The sequence below is a fragment of the Homo sapiens genome, chromosome 15, assembly GCF_000001405.40.
Source record: "Homo sapiens chromosome 15, GRCh38.p14 Primary Assembly".
NCBI classification, from domain to species: Eukaryota; Metazoa; Chordata; class Mammalia; order Primates; family Hominidae; genus Homo; species Homo sapiens.
In genome coordinates, this window is record NC_000015.10 from 65,815,239 (window position 1) to 65,833,117 (window position 17,879).

General features: G+C 43.1%; 1 long non-coding RNA gene and 1 pseudogene across 2 annotated transcripts in view, besides 2 other annotated features; one reads left to right on the plus strand and one right to left on the minus strand.

The window, feature by feature from the left end:
• LOC105370866 (uncharacterized) overlaps positions 1-17,879 on the plus strand; it is a 68,011-nt gene that overhangs the window by 22,766 nt on the left and 27,366 nt on the right. The window lies entirely within an intron of this gene.
• HNRNPA1P44 (heterogeneous nuclear ribonucleoprotein A1 pseudogene 44) lies at positions 624-2,320 on the minus strand (annotated as a pseudogene).
• Positions 6,073-6,192: an enhancer, noted in NCBI's record as "active region_9606". NCBI's record gives its function as "activates an Ori minimal core promoter by ATAC-STARR-seq in GM12878 lymphoblastoid cells {active_cell/tissue: GM12878}" and the evidence as "EXISTENCE:reporter gene assay evidence [ECO:0000049][PMID:35858748]".
• Positions 17,108-17,838: an enhancer, noted in NCBI's record as "NANOG-H3K27ac hESC enhancer chr15:66124684-66125414 (GRCh37/hg19 assembly coordinates)". NCBI's record gives its function as "activates a minimal SCP1, AML or CMV promoter by ChIP-STARR-seq in naive and primed H9 embryonic stem cells {active_cell/tissue: H9 hESC(naive and primed)}" and the evidence as "EXISTENCE:reporter gene assay evidence [ECO:0000049][PMID:30033119]".

A 17,879-nucleotide genomic window follows, 5' to 3' on the forward strand; every position in this document is an offset into this window, starting at 1 on the left:
CACAACAGTAACTATCAGTTCAACTATACCAAGGTTTGTGAAGACAACGGCTTTTCCACCCAAGCAGGTTGCATATAAATTCCAAATAGAACCTGGCGTCAGGCCAGGCACGGTGGCTCACGCCTGTAATCCCAGCACTTTGGGAGGCCAAGGCGGGTGGATCACCTGAGGTCAGGAGTTCAAGACCAGCCTGACCAACATGGAGAAACCCCGTCTCTACTAAAAATACCAAAAAAATTAGCTGGGCGTGGTGACGGGCGCCTGTAGTCCCAGCTACTTGGGAGGCTGAGGCAGGAGAATGGCGTGAACTCGGGAGGCGGAGCTTTCAGTGAGCCGAGATCGCACCATTGCACTCCAGCCTGGGCAACAGAGCGAGACTCCACCTCAAAAAAAAAAAAAATACAAAATTTAGCTGGGCATGGTGCCGCATGCCTGTAATCCCAGCTACTCAGGAGGCTGAGGCAGGAGAATCGCTTGAACCCTGGAGGCGGAGGTTGCGTTGAGCCGAGATCGTGTCATTGCACTCCAGCCTAGGCAACAAGAGGGAAACTCCGTCTCAAAAAAAAAAAAAAAAAAAAGAACCTGGCGTCACCTGAAGGAATTCTAACTTCATACTGTTGGGGAAATTTACCAAGATGGCTTCAGAGTAGACTAACTTTACACAGCACTTTAAAAAAAAAAAAAGACACATTTATTGAGTGTCATGATCAGACTATTACATTTAGCAATGAACAGCATGGGTGCAAAAAAAAAAAAAAATCTACATTAAAACCCTTTGTTGGAATGCTTTATACTTTCCACAGAAGAGAAACTAAAATAAGCTGTTATGCATAATTAGTCACAAATACAGTCCTTGAGTTTTTTGCCCATCCACATGAGTATTTGTCTAAAATATGTCTTCTTTGTAGCAGCTGGGCCCTGCCACCACGGTACTTGGCTGAGTTGATGAATCTATTGTAAGCTGTAGCTCCACTGGGTCACTTCTCTGGCTCTCCTCTCCTGCTAAGCTTTGTTTCCTAATTAAAATCTTCTGCCACTGCCATAGCTACTGCTGCTACTGGAACCGCCACGGCCACCTTGGTTTCGTGGTTGGGCAAAGTATTGGCCTCCACCACCATAGGGGCCAGAGCTTCTGCCTCCAAAGTTTCTTCCCTTCATGGGTCTGAAATTTGAAGACCGATTGTTGTAATTGCCAAAATCATCGTAGCTTCCACCACCCCCAAAATTGCTTCCATCATTACTAAATCCATTATACCCATCCCCACTGCCACCATATCCACCACCACCAGAGCTGTCATTAAAGCCACCAAGACCACTTAAGTTTCCTCCATGACCAAAATTGTCATTCCCACCGAAACTACCTCCATGACTACCACCAAAGTTTCCAGAGCCACTTTGACCTCTGTGGCTGGCTGAAGCACCAGCCATCTCTTGCTTTAACAGGGCTTTCCTAACTTCACAGTATGGTTATTTCTGAATGACAGTCTTATCCACAGAGTCATGGTAGTCAAAGGTTATAAAGGCAAAGCCCCTTTTCTTGCCACTGACTCGGTCAGTCATGATTTCAATCACTTCAATTTTTCCATACTGTTCAAAATAATCTCTTAGGTGCTGTTCTTCAGTGTCTTTTTTTTTTTTTTTTTTTGAGACGGAGTTTCACTCTGTCGCCCAGGCTGGAGTGCAATGGTGCAATCTCGGCTCACCACAACCTCCGCTTCCCAGGTTCAAGCGATTCTCCTGCCTCAGCCTCCCGGAGTAGCTGGGATTACAGGCATGCGCCACCACACCCGGCTAATTTTGTATTTTTAGTAGAGACTGGGTTTCTCCATGTTGGTCAGACTGGTCTTGAACTCCCGACCTCAGGTGATCCGCCCACCTTAGCCTCCCAAAGTGCTGGGATTATAGGCGTGAGCCACTGGGCCAGGCCCTGTGTCTTCTTTAATGCCACCAACAAATATCTTTTTCACAGTTAAGTGGGCACTGGGTCTTTGAGAATCTTCTCTTGAGACAGCTCTCTGTTTCCACAGCTCTTTCATCCACCTTGCGTGGCCTTGCATTCACGGCTGCATCCACTGCCTCCACAGGGGCATATGTGACAAACCCTAAGCCCCTGGAGCGCTTGGTGCTTGGATCTCTCATTACCACACAGTCTGTGAGCGTTCCCCATTGCTCAAAATGGCTCCTCAGGCTCTCATTCCAAGCTCAACCCTCCAGTGAAGAGCTTCCTCTGCTGTTCTGGTTCTTTAGGAAACTCCGCCTTAGACATGATGGCAGGGGGAAGAGAGACTTTAACGATGCTCCCTCCGTGGGGTTCATGAGCCTAATAAATAGGTATTTTCTACTTTGTATTTTTTTTTTTCTTAAATAAGTAAAATGGTGACCAGGCACGGTGGCTCATGCCTGTAATCCCAGCATTTTGGGAGGCTGAGGAGTGTGGATCACCTGAGGTCGGGAGTTCGAGGCCAGCCTGACCAAAGTGGAGGAACCCCATCTCTACTAAAAATACAAAAGTAGCCAGGCGTGGTGGTGCATGACTACTCCCAGCTACTCCAGAGGCTGAGGCAGGAGAATCGCTTGAACCCAGGAGGTGGAGGTTGCTGTGAGCCAAGATCGCGCCATTGCACCCAGCCTGGGCAACAAGAGCAAAACTCTGTCTCAAAAAAAAAAAAAAAGAAGTAAAATGTTTTTTTCACCTTGTATGTGTGATAATTTAAATTTCTCAAATATTTGTAGATGTTTTCCATTTAATTCTATTGTATGTGATTTCTTCTTTCTTCTGGTTTTCATTTATATAGTAGCATTTCTTTGAGTGCTTAATGTTTGTTACTGTGAGCTGCTCAATTTTCTTAGAAAATAATTTGTGAGTTATTGAGGTACCTTCCTCCAGAGAAGATTTGTATTTGTTTCTTCCACGCACCTGGGGCCTGCCTACTCAACTTAGAGTAATAGCTTGAGGCTTTTATGAACCTGTTTTGGCTGTAGATCATCACAAGTCAGTCTTTCAGTGACAGTATTTTTTAGTACTTAGTTCTACTTAGTTCCACAGGAACTTTTTGTGCAGTACCCTGAGGATGAATGGATATGCTGGTTTTCATCTCCACCTAAAGGGTCCAAGCTTTATTGGGAGAATGGTCTCCAATGGGATTCTCCAAGCCCTCGGCTTTACCTTGTCTCTGGAACCATTGTGAAGCCCAAGCTGCAGTTCACCAGGTTGAGCAAATGCCCTTAGGGCAAAGTGATCTCAGGGCCATAGCATCAAACAACCCCAAGAGCATCATTTAGGTGAATAGAATCCAAATGGTGCCTCCTGGTGTTGTACACCTGGACAGTGTTGTCCACTTACCTGTCTGGATTCCTTCTTCACTTCTCTTTGACCTAATAATTTCTTTCTTTCTTGCCCATGCTCAATGCTTCTAAGAGGTTTAAGATTTTTTTTAATTCAGCCTTTTTAATTGTTTCCAGTGGGAGGTGCAGTGTGAATTCCTAGCCTGCCATATACCTGGAAACAGAGCTCTCAAAACTCAACTTGATATACCCTACGATTTATAAAAATATCTGATAGCCCAATTTGTTCAATTCATAATTACCTTTTTTTTTCTGGCACCAAAGCTTTAATTAGGAATAGTTTGATGGAATCAGAAAGAATCCATAATCCGTGGTACTTAACTCTTCCCTCAATGAATATTGCTAACAAATGTATGGATTTACATTGAAATACCAAAGTAGCTCAAAGATCTCATAGTGACCACAATTTTTAAAATAGTGACCACATTTTAAAATGTTTCTCAGAAAATGAGTATGTTAAACCAAAATCATGTGTGTCACTTGCATGGAAAGTGCTGTGTCTCCATAGTTACACTAAAACATAACAAGTACAAAGGGGAAATGTCTCTTGGTGGTTGATAAGCTAAACGGAAGTGAGTCTTGTTCTACTATAATACTAGAAATGTTTTTAAACTTTCGCTCAAGGATGGAGGGTTTCATATCCTTCTGTATTACCCCTTGCTAAAACATAAGTAAGCATAGTTATGGAAAAAACACATGGGCAGTCATTGCTAAGACTCAGTGTATTGATGTCGTGTAGAAAAACATGATACAGAGATCTGTTTTTGTGGTTTATTTAATTGTCTTTGTTGTTTATAGTATTTGCTCTGAAGTATAACTCTATAAAATTTTAACAAAGACAAAGACAATCTGTCTTAGCCCAATATTAGCCCTATTCCCCACTTGGGAAAAAGTATTTTATAACACATATCAAATCAGCCTTGGAGACCATAGCATCCAATTATGCCTAGAGTGTACTAGATATTCGATAAGTGTTTGTTGAGTCAATTACTTAATGGACAATATATAATGGGTTGTTGTAAATAAAGCAGAGCAGTGACTAAAATGTTGACTTGGTCATATTGTGGGAGCATTAAAGAAGGAAAACGCCTGGGATTCAATGCCCATTCTAGGGCTGTCTGGTGCTATGGCTCTGGGTAATCCATAACCACCCGGGGCCCCAGTTTCTTCATTACTTGCCCTGTTCTTTGGTCAGACTGCACAGTCACTCCCTGTACATGCAGCATAATTTCCCAGTTCAGGGTCCTTGTCCTTATGGTTATCTAAAATGCCCTTGCCCCATCCGCTGTATGACTAAACCTATCTAGTCATGATATCCTACTTCTTTTAATCCTTCTAGTATAAATACTCTCCCACCAAGCTTCCTTGACACCACCCTGACTAGAAGCTAACTTTTCCTCTGAGCTTTTTGAATAGCATCTTTTTTCTTTTAACTCAAATGGTGTCATTTTTAATACTTTATAGCTTATATTATGATCTTTTATGTAGATATCCATACTATACTGCTTCTTTGCTAGACTGAATGTTCATAAGGGTAGAACCCATGCTTGCTATATTTTTGTAGTTCTCCATAACACCTAGCAAAATACATTAAAGATTATATGTGCTCAGTAAATATCTGTTGAATCTGAATATAGAGCATAATAATGCTTTTAATGCTTTCCTTTCTCTCTTTTCTTTCTTTCTCTTTCTTTTCTTTAATCTTTCTTTTATTTTCTCTTTCTTTCTCTTCCTTTCTTTTCCTTTCCTTTTCTTTCCTTTCCTTTCTTTTCTTTTCTTTCTTTTTGATAGGCTCTCATTCTGTCGCCCAGGCTGGGGTGCAGTGGCGCGATCTTGGCTCACTGCAACCTCCACCTCCTGGGTTCAAGTGATTCTCCTGCCTCAGCCTCCCCAGTAGCTGGGATTACAGGTGCCTGCCACAACACCCAGCTGTTTTTTGTATTTTTAGTAGAGACAGGGTTTCACCATGTTGGCAGGCTGGTCTCAAACTTCTAGTCTCAAGTGATCTGCTTGCCTTGGCCTCCCAAAGTGCTGGGATTACAGGCATGAGTCACTGCACCCCGTCCAATAATAATGCTTTTGTTTTCTTTTCTTTCTTTTTTTTTTTTTTTTTTGAGGCAGAGTTTTGCTCTGTCCCCCAGCTGGAGTGCGGTGGTGGGATCTCGGCTCACTGCAACCTCTGCCTCCCGGGTTCAAGTGATTCCCCTGCCTCAGCCTCCTGGGTAGCTGGGACTACAGGCATGCGCCACATGCCCGGCTAATTTTTTCTTCTTATTTTAGTAGAGACGGGGTTTCACCACGTTGGCCAGAATGGCCTCTATCTCCTGACCTCCTCGTGATCCACCTGCCTCAGCCTCCCAAAGTGCTGGGATTACAGGCATGAGCCACTGCACCTGGCCCCAGTAATGCTTTTCTTGCTGATGATAGAGGGCTGCATCAAATTATAGCTTGAGGCCATTTATACCTTGTAGACCAATGATTGTGGAGCATTAATGGGGAATGCTGGATATAAATAAGGAAAATTGCATAAGCTATTTATCCATTAGTGGGAGAAGAAAAGAAAATACTTGGGTGGATCAGATCCCATTTCAAAGCAGAGATGAAAGTGAAATTGAAGCAAGAGTAGAAAGCAACAAGAGCAGCATAGGTTGGTTATTCTATTTTGGTCATTTAAGAAAGTTCTTTTCTCAACTGCCTGTTTTTAGACTATGCATACCTGTGTATAGCTAACATAGTATGTACATAGTTTTGACAGATTCCCTGAGGACTTGAGCCAGAAGATGAATTGCATCTTTAGAATATGGTCAATAATTTCACAGACATAGTGTTGAGTGAAAGAAAACAAATACAATACATGCTGTCTGATTCTATTAATATGAAGTTCAAAAACAGGCAAAACTAAATTGTGGTGATAAAAGTCAAAACAGTGGTTATCCCTAGAGGGTGCTGACTAGTATAGGGCACAGAGATTCTTCAGAGGTGCTAGTAACAATCTATATGTTGAACTGAGTGGTGTTACATGATACATACACATGTAAAAATATTTTGAGTTGTCCACTTAGAAGTTATGCACTTTGGCCAGGCTCGGTGGCTCGCGCCTGTAATCCCAGCACTTTGGGAGGCCGAGGCAGGCGCATCACCTGAGGTCAGGAGTTCGAGACTAGCCTGGCCAACATGGTGAAACCCCATCTCTACTAAAAATACAAAAATCACCCGGGCGTGGGGGTGGGCGCCTATAATCCCAGTTACTCAGGAGGCTGAGGCAGGAGAATTGTTTGAACCTGGGAGGCAGAGGTTGCAGTGAGCTTCCGAGATTGTGCCAATGCACTCCAACCTGGGCAACAAGAGCAAGACTCCATCTTAAAATAAAATAAAAAAAAAAGGCCAGGCACGGTGGCTCATGCCTATAATCCCAGCACTTTGGGAGGCCGAGGAGGGCAGATTACATGAGGTCAGGAGTTTGAGACCAGCCTGGCCAACATGGTGAAACACAGTCTCTACTAAAAATACAAAAATTAGCCAGGCGTGGTGGCAGGCGCCTGTAATCCCAGCTACTCGGGAGGCTGAGGCAGGAGAATTTCTTGAGCCTGGGAGGCGGAGGTTGCAGTGAGCCGAGACTGTGTCACTGCACTCCAGCCTGGCTAACAGAGCGAGACTCTGTCTAAAAAAAAAAAAAAAAAAAAGTTGTGCACTTTACTGTAGGTAAGTTATATCTCAATTTAAAAAAAGAATCCAAATTGCCTTCTGTATCCCTGATGAACACGTAAAGGATAGATTGGAGCTATGCAGTGTGTTTCCTGGAAAAATAAAGCAGACTTTTTAAAATTCCAGAGTTTTCTCCAGGAACCTGTGACCAGATGGCTCTTATAAATAATACATCAAAATATGGTTAGGACTAGAAGAATTCAGGATGTGTGATAAAAAGAAAACAACTAATGATCATATAGTTTACTCTTTTTGGCTTTCATTGCAATTTTCTGGAAGAGTCAGGATTGCTAATAAATGGTCGTGCAGCAAGAATGGAATAAGTCCTGCAGCATGAGGGTAATTGCTGGCTGTGAAACCTTCAATAACTTTCAGGCTTTCTGGGCACTGGATGCTTCCTCTGCTAAATGGAAAAATATTTTACCCGCTCGAAGACAGGGGAAAGGATCAAGTGATCTCTTAAGGCTCTTTCCAGCTTGTAAAATCTTTGGCTTGGCCGGGTGCAGTGGCTCATGCCTGTAATCCCAGCTCTTTGGGAGGCCAAGGTGGGCGGATCACGAGGTCAGGAGTTCGAGACCAGCCTGGCCAATATAGTGAAACCCTGTCTCTACTAAAAATACAAAAATTAGCTGGGCATGGTGGCATGAGCCTATAGTCCCAGCTACTTGGGAGGCTGAGGCAGGAGAATTGCTTGAACCCAGGAGGCAGAGGTTGCAGTGAGCTGAGATTGCACCTCTGTACTCCAGCCTGGGCAACAGAGGGAGACTCTGTCTTAAAAACAAAACAAAACAAAACAAAGACTCTTTGGCTTATGGAAATTGAAACTATAAAGAAACAACTGTGAGCCGAGTGCAGTGGCTCATGCCTGTAATACCACCGTTTTGAGAGGCTGAGGCGGGCGGATCACCCGAGGTCAGGGGTTTGAGACCAGCCTGGCCAACATGGTGAAACCCCATCTCTACTAAAAATACAAAAATTAGCCAAGCATGGTGGCGGGCACCTGTAATCCCAGCTACTCAGGAGGCTGAGATAGGAGAATCGCTTGAACCCGGGAGGCAGAGGCTGCAGTGAGCTGAGGTCGTGCCACTGCACTCCAGCCTGGGCAACAGAGCGAGACCCTGTCTCAAAAAAAAAACCTGTAATAATAAAATCTGTAAAAATATGTAATAGGCAACAAACAATGTAGGTGGCCACACCAAATAGAGATCCAGGCAGAAAACACCTTTTCAGATACAGTGAGCTACCTGAAACCATTTGCTGTTGTTCTCTTGGGATTTCCTTATCTTTCAGCAAGTTTACCTAATAATACTTAAAAAAAAAAGAAAAAGTAAAAGAAAAAAAAAGGTAAGGGAACAGTTTTAGACCCCAATCAAGGAAAGCATTAATTATATGGTGAGTTTGTCTGTTATGAGTTCACATTTGCAGAGACTAAATCCATTGCAGAAAGTGGTATTTTGTAAAATATATGAGCAGAGAAGGAGCACTAGTCTAAGTTTGGCTCAAAATCTCACAGCTAGGTGGCTAGGCGCGGTGGCTCACTCCTGTAATCCTAGCACTTTGGGAGGCTCAGGCAGGTGGATCACTTGAGCCCAGGAGTTTGAGACCAGTCTGGCTAGCATGGTGAAACCCCATCTCTTCTAAAAATATAAAAATTAGCCAAGTGTAGTGTGGCCCACTCCTGTAGTCCGAGCTACTTGAGGGCTGAGGTGGGAGGATCACTTGAACCCTGGAGGCAGAGGTTGGAGCCGAGATCGCACCATGATACTCTAGCCTGGGCGACAGAATGTGACTGTCTCAAAAACAAAAAACAAAAAAAAACCCTCACAGCTAGAAGAAACTGCATGGCATCATCTCTGCTTTCAACACCAGTAAGCAAGCGTCATCTCTTCATCTCTATTTTCCTAAAGAGGCCAGTGAGGCTCCATGAGGCTAAATGACTTGCCTATGGTCACACAACTGGGAGAAGCACAGAGTGAAGAAAAAAACAGTTCTCAGGCTTCCAGCTAGCTGTATCCTCCACTGCACCATTCTGCCCCTTGTGGTTCCTTTCGGATTGACTTGAACTCCATGGAAGAGCCAGGGAGGCCTTCCACTGTGCTTCGTTTGAAAAGCAATTGAGAAAGTGGGAAGCTGGTGGAACTGGGAGTCAGAGGACCTGAGCCCCTCCAGTTATTAGTGACTGTGACCTTGGAAAATCATTTAACTTCTCTGAGATTCAATTTCCTCATCTGAAAATAGCACCTCCCCCTGTCACTGAAGCAGAGATCAATGAAAGTATTTGATGAGAAAGTGCTGTGTAAATGGTAAACTAAACTATAGCTATTAAAATGGAGACATCTGGCCAGGGGCAGTTGCTCCTGCCTGTAATCCCAGCACTTTGGAAGGCTGAGGCGGGAGGATGAGCCCAGGAGTTTGAGACCAGCCTGGGCAGCATACTAAGACCCTGTCTTTTTTATTAAAAAAATAGATAATAGAAGATAAAATAGAGAAATTCGTGTCTACTTAGTGAATTAATGAATTAGTGATTAGAAAATAATGATACAAGAAATAGAAAATACAAAAGAAAAAAGAAAAGAATATAATGATACAAGATAAAAATGCTCAATGGATACATGTTAACAGCAGGGCTATTAGCACACATAAAATAACGAATGAACCTGTAACAGAAGCGTCCTTTGTTTATTTATCACAACAATCTAGCATAATATAATCACTTTTAATCTCTCTCAGGAACACTCCCTAATGTGTAGATTCTCGTTGTTAAAAGAACTTTTATGTGAGGACAAATGTCTCTATCTCCCTCCATACTTTGCATTATCAACCTTTTTACATTTGTGAACCCAAATGGGAAAAAAAATATTGTCCTATTGTTATTTTAATTTGCATTTTCCTGATTATAAGTGAGGTTTAGCATCTTTTCAACTTTTTATTGGAAATGTAAATTGATAAAGCTTTATGTAAGGCTAACAGACAGTACCAAGTAAAAAAAAAATTTTTTGGGGGGGTCACCCAGGCTGGAGTGCAGTTGCACAATCTTGGCTCCACTACAGCTGACAGCTCACTGCACGACTTCCCAGGTTGAAGCAATTCTCGTGCCTTAGGCTCCTGAGTAGCTGGAATTACAAGCACACACCACCATGCAGAGCTAATTTGCTATGTTGGCCAGGCTGGTCTCAAACTTCTGGACTCAAACAATCCACCTGCCTTGTCCTCCGAAGTGCTGGGATTACAGGTGTGAACCACCATGCCTGATGCTACAGTTGTGGGAAAAAAAATTTTTTTTTTAATTTTTCAGAGTTGCAAGATGAGTGAGTCCAGTTAAAGCTGAATTGATCTCATACCTGTCACTATGAGAGAAGAGAGACAGACCCTCTCATATTGTTTTATATTGTTTTATACTCAGAAAAGGATAGAGAAGCAAAACTAAAGGCAGGTAGCCTGGCACCTAGGAACCAGACCCAAAACCTAGGAACCAGACCCGAAACCAGGCCTGGGCCTGCCTGACCTAAGCCTAAAATTCGACCCCTGACCTAGCAACTGATGTTATCTATAGATTATAGAAAGACATTGTAAAACTTCCCGGTCTGTTCTGTTTCACTCTGACCACTGGTGCATGCAGCCCCTGTCACGTACCCCCTGCTTGCTCAATTGATCACAACCCTCTCACGCGGACCCCCTTAGAGTTGTGAGCTCTTAAAAGGGACAGGAATTGCTCACTCAGGGAGTTCGGCTCTTGAGACAGGAGTCCTGCCGATGCTCCTGGCCGAATAAACCTCTTCCTTCTTTAACTCGGTGTCTGAGGAGTTTTGTCTGTGGCTTGTCCTGCTACAACGAAAGTGAAGAGGGAAAAATATAGTAAAGAATCAAAATCATCTAAAATATCTATGTGTGTGTATATATGTATCTATTTGTGTGTGTGTGTGTGTGTGCGTGTGTGTGTATATATATATATATATATATATATATGTATATATGTTTTTTTTTTAAGACAGGGTCTCACTCTCTTGCCCAGGCTGGAGTGCAGTGGCTCAATCTTGGCTCACTACAGCCTCAACCTCCCCAGGCTCAGGTGATCCTCCCACCTCAGTCTCCCTGGTAGCTGGGACAACAGGCATGTGCCATCACGCCAGGTTAATTTTTTTTACTTTTTGTAGAGACGGAGTTTTGCCATGTCACCCAGGCTAAAAATATCTGGATATTTAATATCATGTAGAAATTGACTGATTTTTCTTTCACTTTTTGTCCAGATATCAAATGGAGACAGATTGAAGTTCACCTCTCATGTCACTGATTTTAATACACTTAAATAATTGTGTCCTTTGTTAATATTTTCTATTGAGCAGAGTCCATTTCAATAAGAAAGGCTCTCCTTTTTGGCACTGGCTTTTTTCCTTGATCACAAAACTATTATATGCTTAATATGAAAAAAAGGAAAAACATTGAAAGCTACTAAGAAAAAAAAGTAATCCTATCATCAAAAGTAAATACTGCTCACATTTTTTAGATGTTTTTCCTTTTGCATATAGGTGTTCAAGGAACTGGGTTAATACTGTGCATACAGTTTTGTGTCTTTGTTTTTTTCAATTAACATTTTATTGTAAGCATTTCTACATATCATCACAGATTCCTTAAAAATGTTTATTGTGTCATGACAATATTCCAAAGTATGGATATACTATAATTTATCCTTCTATTATAGGAAATTTAGCTTATTTTCTTTCTTTTTTTTTTACTATTATACTTAACCCTGTGAAGAACATTCTTATATATAATTCTTTGCTTCCATCTTTGATTATGCCCCTAGGATATATTCTAAGGAGTGGAACTACAGGACTGTGTAGGTTATTTTTCACTCCTGCCCCCACCCCTACCGCAATCTCTGTCTTTCTTCATTCCAAAGAATTGCATCTCCAGCATTCCTTGCCCCTTGGCTTCCTTGGGATTTATTCAGGGGTGGCACCAGCCGGAGATCACGTATGCTAGAAGAGAGAGAAGTCAGGGTATTTCCTCCTTACTCTCTTCCTGCTTTGAGCCAGCTAGCTGCTTACCCCTCCCCACCCCCAACCTAGTCTCCTTTCTTGGGGTTGGATCCCTCCTCCACCATTCCCTGCTCTTACTGGATTCTGTAAGATTATTTCCTCCCTCTGTTCCTTTATCCCTAGGATAAGGAAATGTTGCTTCCCACTGTTGCTTTTCTCTTGGTGCCTTAACATCCCTGTTTACCCCTTAGCCCAGCCTACCTGTCTGTAAGTAGTTCTTTTATTAAAGTCTCTTCATTGCCAGGCACAATGCTCACACCTGTAATCCCAGCACTTTGGGAGACCAAGACAGGCGGATCACTTGAGGTCAGGAGTTTGAGACCAGCCTGGCCAACATGGTGAAACCCCCTTTCTGCTAAAAATACAAAAATTATCCTGGGGGTGGTGGTGGGTGCCTGTAAACCCAGCTACTCAGGAAGCTGAGGCAGGAGAATCGCTTGAACCCGGGAGGCAGAAGTTGCAGTGAGCCTAGGTTGTGCCACTGCACTCCAGCCTGGGTAATGGAGTGAGAGCCTGTCCCCCAACAAAAAAAAAAAAAAAAAGAGTCTCTTCATTTGAACCATCCTGACTCAAATCGTTTTCCTTTTTCTTTTTTTTTTTTCTTTTGACAGGCTCACTGCAACCTCTGTGTCCTGGGTTTAAGTGATCCTTCCACCTCAGCCTCCCGAGTAGCTGAGACTACAGGTGTGTGCCACCATGCCTGGCTAATTTTTGTATTTTTAGTAGAGATGGGTTTTTACCATGTGATATAGTTAGGCTTTGTGTCCCTACCCAAATCTCATCTTGAATTGTAATCCCCATAATCCCCATGTGTCAAGGGAGAGACCAGGTGGAGGTTAATTGAATCATGGGGGCAGTTTCCCACCTGCTATTCTCGTGATAGTGAGTTCTCACGAGATCTGATGGTTTTATAAGGGGCTCTTCCCCCGTCACTCAGCACTTCTCCTTCTGCCGCCACATGAAGAAGGTGCCTTGCTTATCCTTTGCCTTATGCCATGATTGTAAGTTTCCTGAGGCCTCCCCAGCCATGCTGAACTGTGAGTCAATTAAACCTCTTTCCTTTATAAATTACCCAGTCTTGGGCAGTTCTTTATAGCAGTATGAAAACAGACTAATACACCATGTTGCTCAGGCTGGTCCTGAACTCCTGGGCTCAAGCAATTCACTCATCTTGGCCTCCCAGAGTGCTGGGATTGTAGGCATGAGCCACTGCTCCTGGCTGAAATCCTTTTTCTTTTGGGATCCTGACAGACACAGCATTAAAGAGTACTTTTGAAATACATTTTAAAATACATTCTTGATAGATACTGTCAAATTGTATTGCAGAAAGGTCATATCAGTTTACACTCCCATTAGTAGAGTATGAAAGCCTGATGAGATGGGCTCTTGAGGTTGCAATAAACTTTTGAAGGCACTCAGTTTCCTGTTTGTTATCTAGTGCCTTCCGCTCTGATGTCACTCATATACAGAAGGTTCGGCATGGGCCATCTAAAGAAAAGTCATTCATGACACAGGTGAAAATATTGAGATAAGCAGTATTATATTATTTACAAACCTGAAATTCTAAGTGCAAGAAGAGACCCTGGATTGTGTTGTGAAAACAAGTCTTTTTGATTGATGTATAGGGAAGAACACATTCTGGCTGGGCATACAAATAGTGTGGTGTGGCTAGGGAATGTCAGCTCACATGCAGGTTACAGCATAAACATTAACCTAGGAAACCAATGGGGATGCAGTGCTGTTACCCTTAAGGTCTTAGTACTCATGTTGTGGAAGAATTCCTACTTCATCTTCCTAGTCCTGACTTTAAGAGAACAGTTTTTAGGTACATGGATTATGAGAAGCAGAAAGAATCCACAAAGACATCTTTGTGGACATTCCCTGCTTCTACTCAAATGAGAGGTAACCACTGGCATTTTAATCAATGATTGCTAGGACGGGGCTGAGATTTTAGCTAAGTGATTCCCATGTTTATCCTATAGCTGACTGGTAACACAGGTAGAAACATTGTGCTTTTCCATTTTCTTACAAAATAACGAGACACCTAGTGGGCACAACATGAAAATACCGTCATGGGAGTTGGTGAATTCAGTCAATACCCAGGTGAATGATATTTAGTAACTGCTCCAATGTTTAATTCTACAAAAGTAGTTTGGGCCAGGCATGGAGGCTCATGCCTGTAATTCCAGCACTTTAGGAGGCTTAGGCTGGTGGATTGCCTGAGCTCAGGAATTCAAGGCCAGCCTAGGCAACATGACGAAACCCTGTCTCTATAAAAAATGCAAAAATGTGTTGGGCGTGGTGACTTGCGCCTGTAGTCCCAACTACCTGGGAGGCTGAGGTGGGAGGATCACCTGAGCCTGGGGAAGTTGAGGCTGCAGTGAGCCTAGATCACACCACTGCACTCCAGTCTGGGTGACAAAGCGAGACCTAGTCCTCTTAGAGAAATACCCAGGTCCAGAAATCAGACCAACCATTGACTCATACTGGATAATTAAAATATACTTATTGTCATATATTTTAAAGCACTCATAGTTTTCAAAGTTCTTTCAACACAAAGTTTCTTTCCATAACACTAAGAACATACAATAGTCTCCCCCACTGGGCTGTGGGCTCCCTTAGAAAAGGGGCCACACCAGTTTCCTCCCAGCACAAGCCTAGTGTGTAGTACATAAAGAATACATAAAGAATAGGGGCTTTGGTAGCCCCTATTTGGTAGTTTGATGACTGAACTACCCTAGCAAGTGGGATAATTTCTGTTTTTTTTCTAGGTGAGAAAACAAAAAATCAGGCCGGGCACAGTGGCTCATGCCTGTAATCTCAGCACTTTGGGAATCTGAGGTCGATGGATCACTTGAGGCCGGAAGTTCGAGACCAGCCTGGCCAAGAGAGCGAAACCTCGTCTCTACTAAAAATATAAAAATTAGCCAGGCATGGTGATGCATGCCTGTAATGCTAGCTACTCAAGAGGCTGAGACATGAGAATCACTTGAACCTGGGAGGCAGAGGTTGCAGTGAGCCAAGATTGCGCCACTGCACTCCAGCCTGGGCCACAGAGCGAGACTCTGTCTCAAAAAACAAAACCAAAAAACAAAGAGTAGAGAGAGTTGTCCTCCAGTTAAATAAGTATAAAAGCCAACCATGAACCACACCCTATATACCTTGACCTTTGCCCATGCCCAAACAGACCTTTTGGGAAAGCCTCCTTGCTGACATAAATGCCTACTGGCCTTCCCCTCTGTTTTGAGTTACCAGCATCCATCTTTATTCCATCACCAGGGACCCTTTTGGAAGGTCATAGTATCTAAGTCAGGAGTGATCAATCCACGAACCAAGTGAGGCCCCAGTGGGAGGCCTTCCTCAGAGGATCTTCCATGTTAGATCACCTGATATCATACTCTACTTTCATCTCATGATGGGGTTAATGCATTTCTATCCTCATAGATCACATGCTCAATTAAGTATCTGGAGAGTAGATGGAGTAATAACATACTTATGTTACCAAGGTTCAGCCAAGGGACTTATAAATCCCAAGGCATCCCTGGCCAGACTTTGTCTTTGGAAAGTACATTATAAAGAGTTTTCATCACATAGCATGTAAAAGGGTCACAAATCCTGGGAGGTTACCTGGGCCAATGTTTCTCAAATTGGGGTTCAGGGACCCTTGAGAGTTCTACTGATGAGTTCTTAGGGCCTTGACATTATCTACAAGTATATTTTAGATTTCCCTCAATGATTATCTACAATTAACCTACACTTCTGGACCACCTGGCTAGCCACCACATAAGTGAATCTTGACACAAGGTTTCATTGTTCTGCACAAACTATTTAACATATTCTAATACCCAGTAATCAACTAAAATAATATGTAACTTTTAAAATTAAAATAATATGTAACTTTTAAAAGTTAGATATGGACTGAGGGTACAGTGGCTCACAGCTGTAATCCCAGCACTCTGGGAGGCTGAGGCGGGCGGATTACTTGAATCCAGGAGTTCGAGATCAGCCTGGGCAACATGGTGAAACCCCATCTCTACTAAAAAAAAAAAAAAATACAAAAAATTAGCCAGGCATTGTGTCATGCTCCTGTAGTCCCAGCTACTTGGGAGGCTGAGGTGGGAGAATCACCTGAGCCCAAAAAGTTGAGGCTGCAGTGAGCCAAGATGGCACCACTGCACTCCAGCCTGGGCAACCAGAGTGAGACTCTGTCTCAATCAATCAATCAAATCAAATAAAATGTAGATGTAATTCATATGCCATAAATGCATCCTTTTAAAGTATACAATTTAGTGTTTTTTGGTATACTCATAAGGTTGTGCAACCATCACTGCTACATAATTTCAGAGCATTTTCATCACCCCCCACACCTCAAAAAACCCCAAACCCATTAGCAGTCCATTTCCCTCTCTCCCCAACCCCTGGCAACCACTAATCTACTCTCTGTCTCTTTGGATTTGCCTATTCTGGACATTTTATATAACTGGAATCATATGACATGTGGTCTTTGTGTCTGGCTTCTTTCATTTAGCATGTTTTCGATATTCATCCATGTTGTAGCACGTACCAGCACTTCATTCCTTTTCGTTGCCATTGTATCCCATTGTTTATCCACCAATCAGTCAATGGACATTTGGGTTGTTTTCACTTTCTGGCCATTGTGAATAATACTGGTATGAAAAACTTGTAATTCCGGGCTGGGCACGGTGGCTCACGCCTGTAATCCCAGCACTTTGGGAGGCTGAGGCGGGCGGATTACAAGGTCAGGAGATTGAGACCATCCTGGTTAACATGGTGAAACCCTGTCTCTACTAAAAATACAAAAAATTAGCCGGGCGTGGTGGCGGGTGCCTGTAGTCCCAGCTACTCGGGAGACTGAGGCAGGAGAATGGCGTGAACATGGGAGGCGGAGCTTGCAGTGAGCTGAGATCATGCCACTGCACTCCAGCCTGGGCAACAGAGCAAGACTCTGTCTCAAAAAAAAAAAAAAAAAAAAGAAAAGAAAAACTTGTAATTCCGACTTAAAAAACTGGGGTCTACAGGTCTTCAGATATGTTCTTGGGGCTCTGTGACTTCTCAAATTTGAGAAATACTGAATCAGACTACATCGCTTAATAAAGAAAAAAATTGATCAGGTCCCACTCACAGTTAATGGAAGCTTCTATGACTAGATTTGTAGCACAAGCTGCTGTCTTTCTTATCTATAAGGAGTGGACATCTTGTTTTAGGGCCTTCCCAAATCATCTGTTCAATTCTTTCCAGGAGAGGGCTGCAATTAGCAGTATGGTTAACATTTAACTAATAATACTGACGTATGTTGGTTTAGCCCAGATGCTGGCAGCTTTTAATTCTCCAAACTCCTGGCCTGAATACTGATCATGTTTCCTCAGGCTAAAAGCCAGCAAAAAGAATCACCTGGCCAAACATCCCCTTTCAGTCTGCTTTCCTTAGAATGGCCTCCCAGGGGAGCTCTCTGGGCAAACAAAGCTGTTGACCTAGTTTGAAGGCCTGGAAAATTATCATGTGAGTCACTGGGACAACAGAGCAAAGTGCCAGGCCCCTGAGAAACTGTAAGCACAGGTTTCCGATGTCATCTATGTCCTCATAGGCTGAGAGAGGAGTCCCATAGCGGCCTGCCACTTTTCACCCAGCTGCTCCTTCAAGTGGTTTCCAAGCTCCTTGGCCCTGTGCATGGTGCCGCAGGGGCCCATTCCTGTTTTCCTCCCAGCGGGCTCTGAAAACAGCAACTCAGAGAGTGACAGCTCAGTTGTAGGAAACCAAAACAAAACCGGA